General features: G+C 49.6%; 2 long non-coding RNA genes across 2 annotated transcripts in view, besides 2 other annotated features; one reads left to right on the top strand and one right to left on the bottom strand.

Annotated features, from left to right (window-relative positions):
- The window catches only part of FLJ12825 (uncharacterized LOC440101), a 63,981-nt gene that overhangs the window by 18,736 nt on the left and 28,430 nt on the right, over positions 1 to 16,815 (top strand).
- On the bottom strand, positions 1,850 to 4,834 carry LOC100240735 (uncharacterized). Its single transcript, NR_026658.1, has 3 exons — positions 4,650 to 4,834; positions 3,238 to 3,355; positions 1,850 to 2,451 (listed from the first exon to the last, which is right to left on the bottom strand). It is a non-coding gene; the product is annotated as an uncharacterized LOC100240735 (long non-coding RNA).
- Positions 2,556 to 2,850: a silencer, noted in NCBI's record as "tiled region #1856; K562 Repressive DNase unmatched - State 4:PromP". NCBI's record gives its function as "represses a minimal TATA promoter and a strong SV40 promoter by Sharpr-MPRA in K562 cells {active_cell/tissue: K562}" and the evidence as "EXISTENCE:reporter gene assay evidence [ECO:0000049][PMID:27701403]".
- Positions 4,148 to 4,367: an enhancer, noted in NCBI's record as "active region_6435". NCBI's record gives its function as "activates an Ori minimal core promoter by ATAC-STARR-seq in GM12878 lymphoblastoid cells {active_cell/tissue: GM12878}" and the evidence as "EXISTENCE:reporter gene assay evidence [ECO:0000049][PMID:35858748]".

Consider the following 16,815-nt stretch of genomic DNA (forward strand, 5'->3'; position numbering starts at 1 on the left):
GGAGCCAGGAGACTGGAGATAGAAAGCAGAAGTGCACTGGGGTGGTGGGTCTGCCTTGGCTTACCCCCAAATTTCCAGATTCCAGGTGCCTTGCTCCAGTACCCGCCCCATCCTAGGCTCAGGATGCTCTCCCACCCTACTAACCACCGGTCCGGTCAAAGCCCAAGCTGCTGCCAGCCGCCATGTTATCTCCCAGCCTGGCTAGGGTGCCTGCTAGCCTGCAGTGGCTATGGTGGTGTGCAGAGGGAGGGTGAGTTTTTATATTGACTGCCATTCCGTTTACCTCAAGAAGTATGTTTGGGCAACCATTCTGTGCCAGACAGCAGACAGAGTCCCTGCACTGCAGGAATTCCTAGTCCCGTGGGCAGGGGTGTGTGGAGGGTGGCACATGGTGGTTAGCCTGGTCCAAGGGTCTCCACTCCCTTCCTAGCATCCTAGAGATCCTGGAGGCCAGGTTGGCCACGGAGACTGAGTTCAGGATAATTCCTTCACACATTCAACGAAGTTATCTGTAACTCCCTGTTTAAAAACAACAACAACAACAACAACAAAAAACCACAAAAACTGGCAGTCGTGGGAGGTATTTCCCCACTGGGCTGGTTGGCAGCAGGGGAAGAATTGGGGACCCCTGGCCCAGCGGTGCCTGGAAGGAGGCTGATGTAAGAGTGGTGTAGCTGTGAGTGGGAGAAGTGAGATCTAGTGGGGTAAGTCCACGTTCCCTGTTCCTAAACTCAAATTCTCCCTGAAAAGACCCAGGGCAGCACTGTTAGGGAGCTGAAGGAGTCCCTCTGTGCCCAGAGGGAATTAGGCCACTCAGGCCTCAGAGAAGGAGGGCGGGTGGTGAGGACAACCTCCCCAAGCCCCCATCAGAGCAGGCCCAATACTTGCAAATTCACTCCTCAGTCCACTAGATTCTGGTCCCATCCTACATCCCCGCCAAGGCACAGGAGGCCCAGATAAAAACAAGCTTTATTTGGCCAAATTAACTCACTTTCCTGGATTACCTCACTTATCGGAAAGTGAAAGTACACCCCACGCTCCTCGCCCTGTCCCTGCCTAAACCTCTTTATCTCTGAAGCCCACTCTTTGAGACCTAAAAATTAGGGTTCAACAGAAACGCTCTAGGACTACAGGAGGGACACGACAGTCCCTATCCTACAGCGCACTAAAAGCCAAACTGAAGGCTGCTTCCTCGGTGGAGAGTGTCTCAGGGTGAGGTGGTGGGACTGTTCGCCGCTTCCCATTTTACAAGCTCCTTGTCCACAGCCGTCTGCGCCAGCCCCTCACAAAACCGGTTCTCGCCTTCTGGTGGGTGCTGGTGTTTACCCCTTTCCTCCCACTATCTGTTCAAACCCAGCCCACCCACCCTCCATTCACCTCCCCTCCTTAAGGCTCCCTGAGCTCTATTTACCCTTTTGTAACTCCATCCCTCCATAAGTACACAACTCTCCTAGCTGGTTTCCTAGAGGGCAGATACAGTGTTTCCAGTTGGCCCTCTGCAGATATCTGTGAACAAGTCTCTCCCATCCCCTACATATAAAGATGTCTGTTCTAGACAAACGGGCCTAAGTCCCAACGTAAAAACATCACAAGATAATTACACCTTATATACATACAGATCTCTCTATAGAGTTATATTTGAAAGTGTCTATAACTCTAGAGAGAGATTGCAGCATGCACATATAGGACTATAATTATTTATGTCTATTTTTATAACTATGTAGTTATAAATAGATATGCCTATATATAGTGATAATAATATAGAAATATCTCCATAGCCATATATGGCTCTAAGTGAATGCTCTAACTACTCTATTTCACAATCAATAAGTATATATCTCCTGATACATAATTCTAACAATATACGTTTTTATCTATATAGCTGTTCAGAGATATAAATCTGTCAGGATATCACATGTACATAAAGCCGGATGGCTGTAAGAGAGTCGTATATTTTCCCATATATAAATCTGCTCCTATAACTACTGTATATGCACAAATACAATGGAAATAATTATATTTCCCTCAAACATAAATCTGTAAATACAACCACAGCACATTTAGGTACGGTTAGACATAGAGCAATATTTCCTAGACATCAGTCTGTCAATAGAGCCACCAGTGCCTCCAAACAGAGAGTTATAGAGGGAGTTATAAATAAACTCTCCAGATGGGAACCGGTCAGTAGAACTAGATGTAAACATGACTCCAAGCTGTTCTTTCTTCTTCTTCTTCTTCTTCTTTGTAAGATATTCCTGAAGCAAGCCCAGTCATATAACAGGGTGCAGAGGTGTCTGGGTACTGGTATTTTTCCCCCCAGGAGGGTCGGATGTCGCTGGACTTTGGGAAACCGAGCAGGAGTAGATAGGGGACAGTGCCCGCTCCCAACGCAGCCCAGAAGTCCCTTCCTTCTGTCTCCTGGTGGCTGAGAGCTCGGGCAAGTGGAGAGGCCTAAGGGAGAAAAATGAAAAAGCAGAGTCTGGCTTGAGTCGTTTGGCCCTTCGGCCTAAAACCCTCTCAACAGGGAAGCCCCGACCAGGCGTCGGAGCGGAGAGAGCCCACGAGGCCCAGAGGCTGGGGGAAAGGGGCTGCAGGCCAGGCTGCGGAGGCCGAGCGGAGTCCCCAGCCGGTGCCTGATCGCCCGGCGCCCCATCGCCCGGGGCCGCTGCCTCGCCGGCGGCCTGGAACACAAAACCTGGGCCCTAGCCCTGCACCCTGCGCTCAGCGCTTCCACCGGTCTTATTTTATTGCTGTTTTGTCCGATTAGGTATCGCAGCGTCCTCCACCCGGTGTTGTTCTCAAATGCGAAGGAACCCAGGGCTTTCTGAATATATGTGTGTGTGTGTGTGTGTGTGTGTGTGTGTGTGCGCGTGCTGGCTTTAAATAAGTGACTCACTGGATAGTGTATTTCTCTTTTCAGACCAAATGGGTCACCGGCTACTGAAAAAGAATCCAGACCTCTGAAAGGGTTTGTGACAAATTTTTTAGAAGTTCTCACGCTCATCTGTTATGATGATTTTCTTTTCTTTTTTCTCTTTTAAAAAAGTTGGCTAATTTGTGTTTCTATATTCCTCTTTAATTTTATTTTTATTGGGGGTACAATTGTTTTTAAAGGAGGGATTTCGTTAGACCCGAAACTGTGGGGTGGCTTCCTCTCTAGCAAACTTACTATCTCTACCCCTGTGATTCCCATCTCCCCCAAGAAAACAAACTAATTAAATGACCAGAAAACTGTACCTGGAGAGAATGAGGTAGATGTTGCCGGATCCGGGACCGCGGTCTTTGCTTGCTTCATGAAAAATCGGCTAGTCTCCAAACTCGCGAAGGAAAATTCAAGGCGCCTCAACTCCTCCTTCTAAATTTTTTAATAAAGAGCCTAGAAAGGGAACTTTCCCTGGGCCTGCCGAAGCCCCAGCCTGGCTCTCCCAACTCCCCAGCGGCCATAAGTGTTTTTCTGCTTCCGTTCGGGCCCCCAGTCTTCCCGTCTTCCCGGGCATCTCTGAGCTCTTGCCGGATCAAGGCTGTGGTCATCGCCTCATTCATCTCTGCCCCTTGGCCTGAGCCTGCACATTTGGCCTCCTTCTTAAAACAGGGGCTCCTAGAGAGTCCCAAAAGCCATTAACCATCCCCATATGTGGGATCCCTTCCCTGATCACACAAAGCAGAAGCCTGAGAAAAAAAGCAATAAAGAGTGGCCTCCTGGCCCTCCTTCCCCTCTTCTGTCCCTTGTCTGGGAAAGGGGTTCCCAACCCCAGCCCCGCCAAGAGCATATTAAGAAGCTTTCTTCCTCCCTTCCTTTCCTATCTCCCCCTCAGATGCTGTGATCCTGACTCCTTCTTCTGTCTCCACCTCAAAATATTTCCTCTTGCATTTTATTGTTATTCTGTTATGGAGGGACTGTTAACTACTGTTTTATTATTATTATTCATTATTTATTGTTATTATGATTGTTGTTAGAGATTTGTTCACCACCGTTCAGGGGACAGCAGCCTGGCCCAGGGGGAAGCCTGCCTCTCTCTCTCTGTCTCTCTCTCTCTCTCTCTCTCTCTCACACACACACACACACACACACACACACCCTAACACAGTGCACACTCACGCATATATGCTCACAAATGCCTGCTGTGTTCAGGCCCCTGCACAGCAATCCGAAGAGGCAGGCATCCTACCCCAGCACCCAAACAACACACTGCCCATGCACACCAGCATTCAGGCAGAACACCACCCCCAGACCAACGCCAAAACCCACACGCACCGAGCTTGCAAGGAAAGGAAAATACGTAAAGAATCCCTTCTCTCCCACAACCTGGAGGGGCGAGTCAGGCCTCTGTCTCTTCCCCCCAGTCGCTTTCGCTTTCTCTTTTTTTTTTCTCCTTGTTTACAGCTTCAGAGAGCTCAAGGCCCATAAATCTTGAGGGGCCTACAGAGCGCAGAGCACATTTGTATGCATCGTTAGGACTCGCTAATACCTAAGCCCATTAAGGAGCGTGTATGCGCGTGGTTTCCGGTGTGTATTAACTTATAGTTAAATTCTGGAGGAAAGGGCATTGTGAATTAACATATACCAAATCCATCATGGGCTTTTGTCATATCAGATTAGTCAGTCATGGGTTTGGGGGAGCAACTTGCCTGGGTCGGGGTGTACCCACCCTTCAAACTTTGTGGAGCAGGCCCGGGGGTCTTGGGAAACACGAAGGCATTCCTATCCAGCCCCAGTCATTCGGATCCCCCAGGCCTAGCGGCTGCACACCTGCGAGATGGCGGAGGGACTGCAGACCCGGGTGCGGGAGACCAGCGCCGGCGAAGACAGGCGGGCGAGGGAGGCCCCTCCAGCGTCCTGCTGGGGTTGAGTTGGGGCGGCTCGTCCCGTGGCCGCTGGGTCGTCTGGTTTCCGCTTTCCGAAAGAAATGAGAGGAGAGGCAAGTGGAGTCGCTGAACTTTAATTAAACCGTAGAGAAGACAGTGGGGGGAGGGGAAAAAAAACGATCGGAGAAGGAGGAGAAGGCGGCCGAGAGATCGAGGAAAGGAAGTCCTGGCGGCTCGGGGGAACTTGGAGATCTCTCCAAGGGGCTGAAAGCTGGAAGTTGTATGAAGGTGTTCCTTTTCCACACCCCAGCTACTCTGCCCCAGTCGAAGAGGCTAATTCTGGCCCTCTTATAAAAAAAAGAAAGAAAAGGTAAAGAAAAAGAAAATCTAATTATGTGGCATGTTTCAGCCAGGTGTTCCTGGTTCCAATGACTCAGACCCTATTGGAGCCCCGAGGATCTGGATAATTGGGCCTGCATAGACAGAGATGAAGGATGCCATTTCTAAAAGGAGGAAGGGGAAAGGAAAGTCCATCTCTTGGGGTCTTGTAGAAAATGCCAAAGACCAAACGAGCTAAATTATTGTGTCCGTGTAGATCTATTTGCCTATTTACATACAGCAGGCTGTGTGGGTGGGGGGTGAGGGAAGGCAAGGAATAAACGACCAGGATGGAGCGGGCTGGCAGTAGAGAAAATGAGCCCCCCGCCCTTTGCGGGAACAGCCAAGGGGCCTCCTCAGCTCGCAGCTCAGGCGGCCGTGCGGCGGGCCGGTCCGGGGCCGGGGGCCGGGGCCGGGGCCGGGGCCGGGGCCGGGGCCGGGCTGGGGGAGGGGAGGCGGGGGCGGGAGGGGAGGCGGAGGCGGGCCCTCCCCTGGCGCTGTGAACTTTAGCTGGGCCGCCGCCTGTCAGCCCCAGAAAGCGTTAAAGGTGCAGCAGCTCGCGCCAGCCTCCGCAGCCGCCTTTGTACGCGTGATTTATGACTTCAATCTTGGTTCACCGAGAGTTCACACGGCTTTCGCTGCTGTTGAAGGTTAAAAGATGGTCTTCGCTTGACAAGTGGGACTATTGAAAATTCCTTCTTCTTTTTTTTTATTTTATTTTAGAAGCGAAGAGCAGAGGCTCAGGAGAGAAAAAAATTGGGGGGGGGGGGCGGGAGACAGGGGTTGCAGGTGGGCCAAAATGGTAGGTCAGGAAGGTTTGTCTTCCTATATTTGGGATTTTTTGTTGCTAGGATTTGTGTGCGTGTTGGGGAGAGGGTAGAGAATAAGAGGGAGCTAGGCAAGAGATGTAAAGATCTCTCATATTTAGAGGCCAAAGGAGTGGGAAAAAAAAAAAACAACTCGTGCTTCCACCGTTAATTATCTGGGTAACTTGGGTCACACCCCCTAACTGATCCTCCTCTAGAGACCGGAAATGGGCCAGGTAAGGGAGAGAGTTTGGGTAAAGGGTAAGGTTTGTGTGCTTCTCACTGGGTGTACTTGATCATCCACCTTACTTGGGTAACTACTTTTTTTTTTTTTTTTTTTTTTTTTTGGAAATGGGGTCCAGCTCTGTTTCCCAGGCTGGAGTGTTGTGGCACCATCATAGTTCACTGAAGCCTCAAACTCCTGGGCTCAAGTAGTCCTCCCACCTTAGCCTCTTAAGTATGTGAGACTGCAGGCATGTGCCACACCCCCAGGCTGGGTAGCTGCTTTTCAATGTGCTTCTGCACCCACAGATTTGGACAAGGGTATTTTTAGGCAGCAGTCTTTCAACTCTCTTCATCCTGAAGGTTTAGCCTGCCATTTACATTTGATGCACATGAAGAGGCTAATGGGAAGGAAATCTATAGAACTGGAATTGGAAGTCCTTTCGAATCCCAAATCCCCTTGGTCTAAGAGCCAGTCTCTCTTCTTTCTAGCATTTTGAAAAAGGTCGTGCCACAGCAGAGATGGTGGTTAAAGATCTCCTAAAGACCAGAATCTAAGGCCCCTTTGTGATCTAAGGCTCTGAGTACTTGGAGAGACAAAACTCACTCCTTCTTTGTAGATTCAGAGAGACAGAGAGAGAGAGAGAGAGAGAGGGAATGAGGAGATACCTTGAAGCTGAGGGTCTGCTTGGCTCTTCGAGGTTTTTTTAAGATATGTTTTTAAAAATTTTTCTGGAGTGGGAATTTGGGATCGTGTGCACTGGGAAGGGGAACAGCAGAGAGCTGGGTCTGGAGTTGGGTGTGCCTCCCTAGCCCTATTTAGGCCCGATCTCCATGATCGATGCTAGGTAAATGTCTTCTTAAGAAATAGAGCCAGCCCCTCAAATCCAGATCTGGGAACCAAAGGCATGCACGCTAGAAGGGGCACTCCCTGCTTCTCTTTCTACATAGCGTTGGAGAGGTATTTTCCCACTGTGTGAGGACTTAGATAAGAGAAGGAGAAGAGCCAGAAAGATGTCCACATCTCGCCGGGACAGCTAGCACCAGGCCCTCCTACAGGGGACCTCGTATGTAAATAGCAGAATGGGGAGCAGAGAACAGAGAGACCCCAGAAATCCAGAGTCCAGGCTCTGAGGTCACTTTGGCAGGAATGGTCCTCTGGCCTTATGAAGAACAGAGGGGCAATATGGCACTGTTTAGAAGCTCAGGGGGTGGTAGCTGTTAGGAGAAATCAGCCAAGGAAGCTAATGGATCTCTTCCAGGTTCTGGTTGGGAAGCAGAGGAATGAACTTAATGGCCTCTGGAAGTAATGTCTGTACTGAAGTCCCCTTCCTACCCTTTCTGACTGTGTTCCTCCCTGGGAAATAATTCCAGTGGGCTTGTGCTTATCTGCAAGTCTGGGGTAATTATGAATTATTAATTCATCATTAAGACTTGATTGTGACCGTTGCTCTCCAGTGGACCCATTTATCTCCTTCTTTATGAGGCAGAGGGCGGTCTCTGTTAGCCCTTGGCTTCTGTAACAGGCAAACTGAGGCCAGCCCCTCTTGAAGGCAGTCCTTGAACTCTGCCCTAGGTGGGATGGTTGCCTCATTACCAGTCAAGTCATGTTGCACCTCAGAGTATTTGTGCAATACAGCCACCTCCCACAAACTTCAGATTTCAAAGTGCTTTGTAGGCTCCTGGAGAGATAGAGTAGGGGATTGGGAGTGAGACTCCAACAGGGGAAGAAACTTGGCCAAGCTGTGTGTGGAGACAGGAATTAAGGCGAGGTGGGAGGACACCCAGGCACAGTATCTAAGCAATCTGGGATCAGGAATGGGCATTTTGCCTTCCTTACCCTAAGGAGATGCTAGTCTCCCTCAACTCTCTGGGGACCCCTGAACACACATCTGGCCCCTTTTCCTGACCTCTCTTTCCCCCACCAGCCTCTCAATCGAGAGGCACAGGTTTCAAGACACATCATCCCCTCCGATGGTTAGGGGTGGGAAAGTCAGATCTGCCAGTTGTTTCACATCTGTAAGAGGCCTGGAGAGGGAGAAAATTGCTCCTATCCCATGAGGTAATTCCCATCTAAATCCCTGCTATAAGCTCACCTCCCCCAGCACTGAAATAATTCTCTTCATCCTTTTTTCCCCCTCTTCTTCCCTCTGGAACTACAGGCAGGGAGATTGAGGGCAGGAGAGGCAGCTCCCAACAGCTGTACCTAGAGGAAGAGACAGAAGTAGGAAATGAGGGGAGAGTGGCTTAAACCTGTTATTTCCTACAAGTTTTATCTCCATTATTCAAACCCAGGTCAATACCCTGAAACCAGGGCCATGGGAAGCCCTCTCTCCTTGTTTCCCCAACTCTCTCTCTCTCACAGAAAAGGAGCCCTGCGTCCCTCCCTGAGGCCAAGGGGCTGCTCTGAAAACTGCTCTAAGAACACTACCACTTTCTACAGGACACCTGAGGGCCCAGCCCCCATGGATCTCTCAGTGCCTGTCTGGTCCAGAGGGAGCCAGTGGCTCTTGCCAGCACATCACCATTTTGTGCTCCACGAGGGGGTGGTCCATGGAGTCATCTCATCTTTCAGCCCAGACCTCACTCACTCTTTCTCCAAGCCACGCCAACATTCCTTGGTCTCTCCCAAGCCAGGAGGCAGGTAGGAAGCCCATCCAGAGGGTCCCCTGGAACTGGCTAATATAGTTTAATTTACTGTTTGGTGGTCAATAAAGAGAACTTGGGAAAAAAGGGAAGGAGCAACTGTGCCTAGCGTCCTTCTCAGCCACCCCTCCCCTGGACATTGGCTTTCTCCATGAAACAGTGGACTGTTGTTCTTGGACAACCATTCCCCACCATCTTCTTTGGAAGGGCTTGAGTTTCACCCTCCGTTCACCCCCATTAATCACCCCAGCAGCTAAACATCACCCAGCCCCCTCTGGCCCTTTCTCTTCTTGCCCTTAGTATTCATGGCGGAGCATTCCTCACTGCTGCACGCTCACAAAGACCCCTCCTCTGACACGAGGTCCCTCCCACTCCCCAACCACCCAGTCCACGATGGGCACTGCTCACTGTTCTGGATGTTCCAACTGCTGGCGCCCACTCCTGGACCCCGTTCCCCCACTCCCCAGCTATCTCCATAGCCACTGCCCCCTTCCCATGCACGTGTCGGCTTACCACGCCCTCCTTCAGGTACCTCCTCTTAGCCCCACAAACCCTCTTCAGTCTTTCCCAGCCACCATTCTGCCCTCCATGCCCTATGCATGTGTAGCCCCTGTCTGCTTCCCTATACTTCTCCTTGCTTCTCTCTTCTTTCCCTCCCCAAGACATTCCGTAGGCACTTCATATGGTGGACCTGAAGCCCTTCCCTTCTGGCCTTGAGAAACTGAGAGGCAGTGTACCACAGTGGTTAAAAGCATGGGTTTGTGATTCAAGTCCCTGATCTGACACTTGCTAGTTGTACAAACTTGGGCAAATTACTTAACCTCTCTGAGCCATCCATAAAATAGACATACCCGCTGACCTTATAGAGTTGTTCTGTAGATCAGATTGAATTTTATTTGCATAGATCCGAGCATTCAGCAGGGGCTTGATAAGTGGTAGTTATTGTGTTACAAGCTTCTTGTGAAGAAAGAGAGATGTTCTTCAGATTCCAAAAAGTGAAGGAATTGCCTCCTCCAGCACCAGAGAGGGAGGGATAAAAATTACACAGTCTTGCAGATAAGCAGGGCCCATTTACCGGGCACTGATACTCTTCTATTAGCTCTAGAGGGTCTCAACTTTCGCTGCACACTGGAATCCCCAGCGAGTTTTTCTGTTTGTTCGTTTTTGTTTTTGAGATGGTGTCTTGCTCTTGTCGCCCAGGCTAGAGTGCGGTGGCACATCTCGGCTCACTACATACAACCTCTGCCTCCTGGGTTCAAGCAATTATCCCTGCCTCAGCCTCGCGAGTAGCTGGGATTACAGGTGCTTGCCACCATGCCTGGCTAATTTTTGTATTTTTAATACAGACGGGGTTTCACCATGTTTGCCAGGCTGGTCTCGAACTCCTCACCTCAGGTAATCCACCCGCCTCGGCCTCCCAACATGCTGGGATTACAGGTGTGAGCCACCATGCCCCGCCACAAGTTTTTTAAAATACTGATGCCTGGGTCCCACCTCCAGAGATTCCAATTTGGTTGGCCTGTAGTAGGGCCTGGGCATCTGGATTTTTAAAACTCCCCAGGTTGCTAATGTGTAGCCAGAGGTTGAGATGCAGGCCCTAGGAAATGATACAAGAGATAAGGGGAGGGCTGACACTTCTGCCAGAGCAAGGGAGGGGAGGGATGCTCAGCTGAGAGCTGCTTCTCAACCTTGGACATCCCCTACCAGTGGCACTGCTTCAGTTGGGGAAGTTTTCACTTAGAATTAGCTTCTCTTGAGATCCCAGAATTTCAGACTCTCACCCTTTTCATTTCCTATAACTATTAGAATTTACAAAGGGGCCACCCCAAGAGGAGACAGAGGAATCGACAGATTGACCTCTAAGAGGCTCATCTCTTATCAGAAAAGCATATGGTCCCCAGACCACCAGTGATAGAAGCAGAGGCAGATACCTCCAGTAGTGGGAAAATTTGTAGTTACATAGTAAATGGAGTTTCTACCTGGTTGCTACAATAATAGGCCAAGCAATTAGGATACAAGTTTCCAGGATCTTTTCCTATATTTCCAAAAAGATAAATCACCCCTAGGAACAGAATCTGCATATTGTAATTAACTGATAAATATTTCATGCCTGGTTCAAACTTTCTCCTCTTCTATTTAATGGCCACAAACTTGAGCACAGAGGAAACAGGAGTGAGGAGAGTGGGGGTTGGCTGTAGGGGGGAGGTTCTACCTTGGCTTCAGGGAGGGAGAAACTGTCTTAGTTAATTATTTACTGTCCTCCTGTTCTTTTAAGAAAACATTGCTCACCTGGAGAAAATCAGGTCCCAGGTGGTAAAGGGTGTGACTTGGGCTTGTTGGCCTGAGCCCTGACCTCCCCCAGGAGAGGCCAGTTTTTGATGACCCTGGGGGTGCTGGGAACTGCAGGCTTTGGAGTCAAGGGCCCAGTGTTTAAACAAGAGCTCTGTTCTGTCACTTATTAACTGGATGGCTTTAGGTAATTTACCTAATTTATGTGAAACTCAGTTTCTTCATCTGTAAAACAGACATAATTTTTACCTTGTAGGGTGGCCTATGCTCAGTTGGCTCTCAATGCTTGATAACTATTATTATCAACAGTAACAATGAATAATTAATAGCCCATTGGATTGTACCCTTTCCCTTCCTCAACCCTGCTCCAATGTGTAGGGCACCTAAACTATTGGATGCTTACTGTGAGTACGGTGAATGCCTTAGCTCAATTAATCAACATAATTCTTTGAAGGGAATATCTTATCATCCCTACTTACCTGTGTTTTGCAAATGAGGGAACAGGGCGTGTAGAAGTTAAATACCTTGCCAGGTGTCACACAACTAAGTGGTTAAGAGCACAGGCTCTGCAGTCTGACTGTATAGTTTCAAATTTGGGCTCTGCCACTTAATAATAGACTCTCCTTGACTTACAATGAGGCTGTGTCCCGATAAAGCTGTAGTAAGCTGAAAATATTGTAAGGTGGATATGCATTTCATACACCTAACCCACCAAACATCATAGCTCAGCCTCGCTTACCTTAAAGTGCTCAGGACACTTTCATCAGCCTACAGTTGGGCAAGATCATCTAGCACAAAGCCTATTTTATAATCAAGTGTTGAATATCTCATGTATTCAACATGAGATATGTATTCATCTCATGTATTCAACATGAGATATGTATTCATCTCATGTATTCAACATGAGATTCAACATGTTATAATATACTGTGCTGAAAGTGAAAAACAGAGCGGCTGTATGAGTATTAGAAGTACAGTATCTAATGAATGCATATCACTTCGGCATCATCATAAAGCTGAGAAATTGTAAGTCAAAGCATCATAAGTCGAGGACCGTCTGTAATCACTGCAGGATGGAACATAAATTGCTTAACCTCGCTAAGCCTCAGTTTCTTCATCTGTAAATTGGGGATATGAATGGTACCTACCTGAAAGGTAGTTGTGAGAATTAAGTGAGAAATGCGTGTATAGTGCATGTCTCAGTACTGGCATGTGGTAAGTGCCCAGTAAATGTGAGTTGTCAGTACCATCATCATACTACCCAGCAACTCAGGGCCATGGTGTCTCCTGCTGTTTGGTGGTGTTTGGGAGGTGAGTGAGTGTGAGGGTCCTCCAAAGGTCACAGAGCTGCTCTTTTAACTCCCCCTGACAGACACACACACTTCAGTATCTAGGACTCGGGAAAAAGGACACTAAGCAGATTATGACTCCATTTCGGGAATTAAATCAAAACTCAAGACTAACTCAATTTGGCTTCTGACAAGAGGGAAAGGTTAAAAGGGAGTGAGGAGGCGGCTGGGTGTGCGTTCAGAATTGCAATTGGTTCTGGATCCCACCTCCAAGCCCCTCCACAGGGCCAGGCCCAAGGAGTATCCCCCGGGGGTGGAGGAGTGAAGGAGCCTTAGAACCTGTGTTATCTGAATGTGGGTGAGGTGGGGAGAACATGGTCAAGGAGTTGGGAAATTATCCAGAAACATTTTCCAAAGGGAGATCTTCCCGCATACCACCTCAACCTGGCCCTGGGTTGCAGGGGAACCCCAGAACGGATGGGGTCTGGGGGCTTAAGACAGGTAGGTGGCCTCAGTAGAGGGGAGAAACAGTCCTGCTGGAGACAGTTGCCTCCCTGGAGAAGTACCTGGGCTAGTGTTCTCTTTAAAGACGACTAGCAGCAGTCCTGGTATGCTAAAAACATTATGTGTATGTGTATAAACATATATTCTGTGTGTGAGTAGCCACTCAGCTCTTACTCGGCTTCGCACATTTGGGCCAGATTATTCTGAGCATTGTAAACTAAAAGCGAAATTCGGTTTCTACTTAAGAGAGAGCGTGATTTTCCTCAGTATTATCTCCCGTGCCCCCAACACTCCACCAGGCTTTAAAGGCCATTATACAGAAGGGAGAACTGAGACTCCAGGAAATGGGTGGCTTGTTCAGAATCACAGAAGCAGCGTGGATCCAAGAAGGGATCTGTTCCCAAACAGAAACCAGTGTCTTGGGAGAGAGAGAGCAGAGGAAGCCCGCACCTCTGCCCTAACCTGAGGCTTTGAGCCTCCCGCAAAGCGGAGTGAGTTGAGAGCGCCCGGAAGGCAGACGCTGCGGAGGGAGGGACTCCCGGGCTCGCCAAACAGCGGGGCCTCGGGCAAGAGCGTCGCCAGCGCGTCCTCATTCTGCGATTACTGTCAGGGGACCATCCATCAGCGCCGCCCGGGACGCTGGGCCAGACTGCCCGCCGCCCGCCCGGGTCTCTCCAGATCGCATTAGCGTGGGGCGAGGGCGCAGTGCGGCACCGGCTGCTGAGGGAGAGGCGTGGCGGGGAGGGGGGCGGGGCGGGGGGACGAGGACATCGCGGTGGGGCCACTGCAGGGGCAGGGGAGAGGCTGCTTTAGGACCCTCCTCCTTTTCTTCCAATCTCCCGCCTCTGGGATCTAAGGTGGATGAAAGGGGCACTAGAATGGGCGGCTTTTGGGGGGCAGGGGGCGCAGAACACTGAAGGCATCAGGGAAGGGTAGTGATGGGGGCAGTTACCAGAAGCAGAGAGGAAGAAATACCTGTAAAGGGGAAAGCCAGAGAAATTGTCTGGGGAGGGGAGAGACTGAAAATTGCACTGGGGAGGGGTGCAGAGATTGGGGGTTAGTGGAAGAAAAAGACTCAAAGGGAAAGGAAAAGAGAAGCTGTAGAGGGAAAGAGAATTGGAAAGGAATTGAGGAGAGAGCAGGGAAATAGGAAACCACAGATCGTCAGGGGCCGACAAAACCTTAGAGACAATCTACTGCAGCCCCTCATTCTACAAATGAAGAAATGGAGGCCCAGAGAGGGGAATCCCTTCTCCAAAGACCCACTCCACCTGCTAGCTGGGCAGGCTCTTGACCCCAGGCTCATTCATTCAACCCATGTGTTTTGAGCATCTGCTGTGTGCTGGGCACTCGTCTGCCGAGATGATGCAGGATCAGCTCCTGACCTCCAGAAGCTACAGTCTTTCCTCAGGAGCTTGGAGGGGCTGAGCATCCAGGAAGCTCCCTCACCCCAAGCCATCAGGGACTCCCTGAGCCCCACCTCTCCTGGCCATTGAACCTTCCTTGCCCTCTGCTGTTCTGCTTATCTCCTCATGGAGGGTGGCAGTTCCCTGGAAGATCTTCCCTCTCCACTTTCCTGGGGACTCCCCAGGTGTGGAGACAGGTACTTGATAGTTTGGCCAACTTGTTCTATCTCCCACAGCCAACAGGGTAGGCCTAAAAGCAAAGTCCATATTCCTTGCTGGGTTTCTCCTCTGGGCATGGACAAATCCCACAGGTTGCACTGAGATCCAATCGAGCTGTGGTAAGGAGGATTGAGGCTGGACATGAAGAAGTACTTCCAGGTCCCACAGTCTGGGACCATTTTCTTGCTGGGGCTTTAAAGTAGCTGTCCTTCTGTGAGCACAGTGTTGGCACCATCTTCCAGGGAAGGACTTGTCTTCCTCAGTCTCCAGTTAGCCTTGTGTGAGACATTATGCTGGGAATGTTGGGGTTCCAGATACCTGGTCTCTGACCATGGGGTTTCTGCTCTAGACATGGGTGAACTGACATCTCCCTGGCATCCTCCCAGTCACTGCCAGCTCTGCAACATCATGGAACCCCTGAGTCCTTCACAACTCCCAGATCATCTCATCCTTCCTCCTTGCTCTGGGAAGACCATGTCTGAGTAGTTCCAACCAACCTCTCACCTTAAACCCAGTCCCTGACAACCAGAAGTACCTCCTTAGTCTGGACTTGACCTTCCTTGCTGCCATGGTCCATCAGCGATGACCAGGGCTGAAGCAGCACGTTTTTTCTATAAACACCCCTCCCTCCCAGTGATGCTCACCCAATCCTCGGTGGTCAGGCAGGGAGTGGGGACAGCTTCCTGGCAAGAGCTCTGGAAGGCAGCTCTGCCTCCTCTGCCTGAAGCAAGCTCCTATATACTCTGAGATGGTGGTGTTCATTTTAAAGAAGGGACCATCTTTCCTCCACAGCCCAGCTTACATTTGGAGGGAGACAAATGTGAGTTTCCAATCCCAGAATCTTAGCCACTGTACCAATCTCCATGGATGCATGGGATTCAGGAAAGGAGAGAAATGAGCAGAGTGAGGACATGAATAAAATCCATTTCATACCCCTTGTTCCAGCCCAACTTCCAGGGAAAGGCCCACAGAGGGCAAGAGAGGTGGACACTGAAAATTCCAGACTAAAGACGAACAGACAGATTTCAGCATTATTCCTTCTTGTAGGCAAAGTGGTGCCTGAGGATCTAACCAATGAAAAAGCCTGGGAAATAGGCTGTTTCTGCACCCCCTGACCCTTCATGCAGAGCAGGATATCGGCTTCAGCCCAGGAGCAATGCTAGAAGTTGAGAGGTTTGGAGTAGACTGTGAAGCAGTTCCTCCGAGGGCATGCCAGATGAGGGGGTTGGAGCACCCAGCCCAGAACAGCATCCAAGGAAGGAGGCCTTGGCAGTAACTCTCTGTGTCTCTGTATTAACTTCACATACATTGTCTTGTGTGATCCTCAGTGCCAGGTTCAGCACCAGGCACAGAATACATGCTTGCTGTACAAATGCATAAGTGAAGAGCCATGGGAGGAAGGTCAGGATCCTCAATTATAGATGAAGAAACAGACACACAGAAAGGTTAAATGACTTGCTCAAGTTCACATATCTCATCAGAGACAGGGCCAAGTTTCAGTGGAGAGCCACTTTAGTGGTAGAGGGTGGTAGGGAGGAGGGAGGCAGGAAGGGAGGGAATGAACCATCAGATACCACACCAGGGGGAGAGGAGAGCTGTCATCTCTTTCTCTTTGTGAAAAGAGATTACTTCCTGGGAAAGACGGCATTTAAGACCATACAGTTTTAAAAATAACCCATTGAAGGTTGATGTGTAGCATATGCAAAGTTCTGCCAAAAACATGGAGAGGTCAATGAGTAGACGAGGTCATTGAGGATCAGAAAAGAAAGACAACACTGAGAGTCTGGACAGCTAAGCCCCAGAATTTTGCTAGTCTTAAATGCTGGGTGACATCAGGCCAGCCACACCCCTCTCTGAGCCTGTAGAGAATGGAGATGCCAGATGAGGAGGAGGGTACACATGGGCAAGAGGAGGCAGGTCATTGCCTTCAGGGTAGCAATTGGAGGCATCAAGTTCCCACTTCCCTAGACCTATTCTTTGTTGTTATTATTGTTGTTTCTTTCATCTGATTTTAATTGTTTTATGTTTTTGAATAGGAAATACATGTACATGGTTCAAAACTCAAAAGGCACCAAAAGTTATACAGTGACAAGTAAGTCTCCCCGGAACCTCAGAACTCCCAGGCCACCCATGTCCTCACTCCATTATAACTGCAGTAACCACTGAATTGTATAACCTCCAAAGGTATTTTCTGCTTCTCCTGGCTTGTACCCTGAGGCCACCACAAAGCTGAGTTGAGCACTGATATTC

This window comes from Homo sapiens, chromosome 12 (assembly GCF_000001405.40).
Source record: "Homo sapiens chromosome 12, GRCh38.p14 Primary Assembly".
NCBI classification, from domain to species: Eukaryota; Metazoa; Chordata; class Mammalia; order Primates; family Hominidae; genus Homo; species Homo sapiens.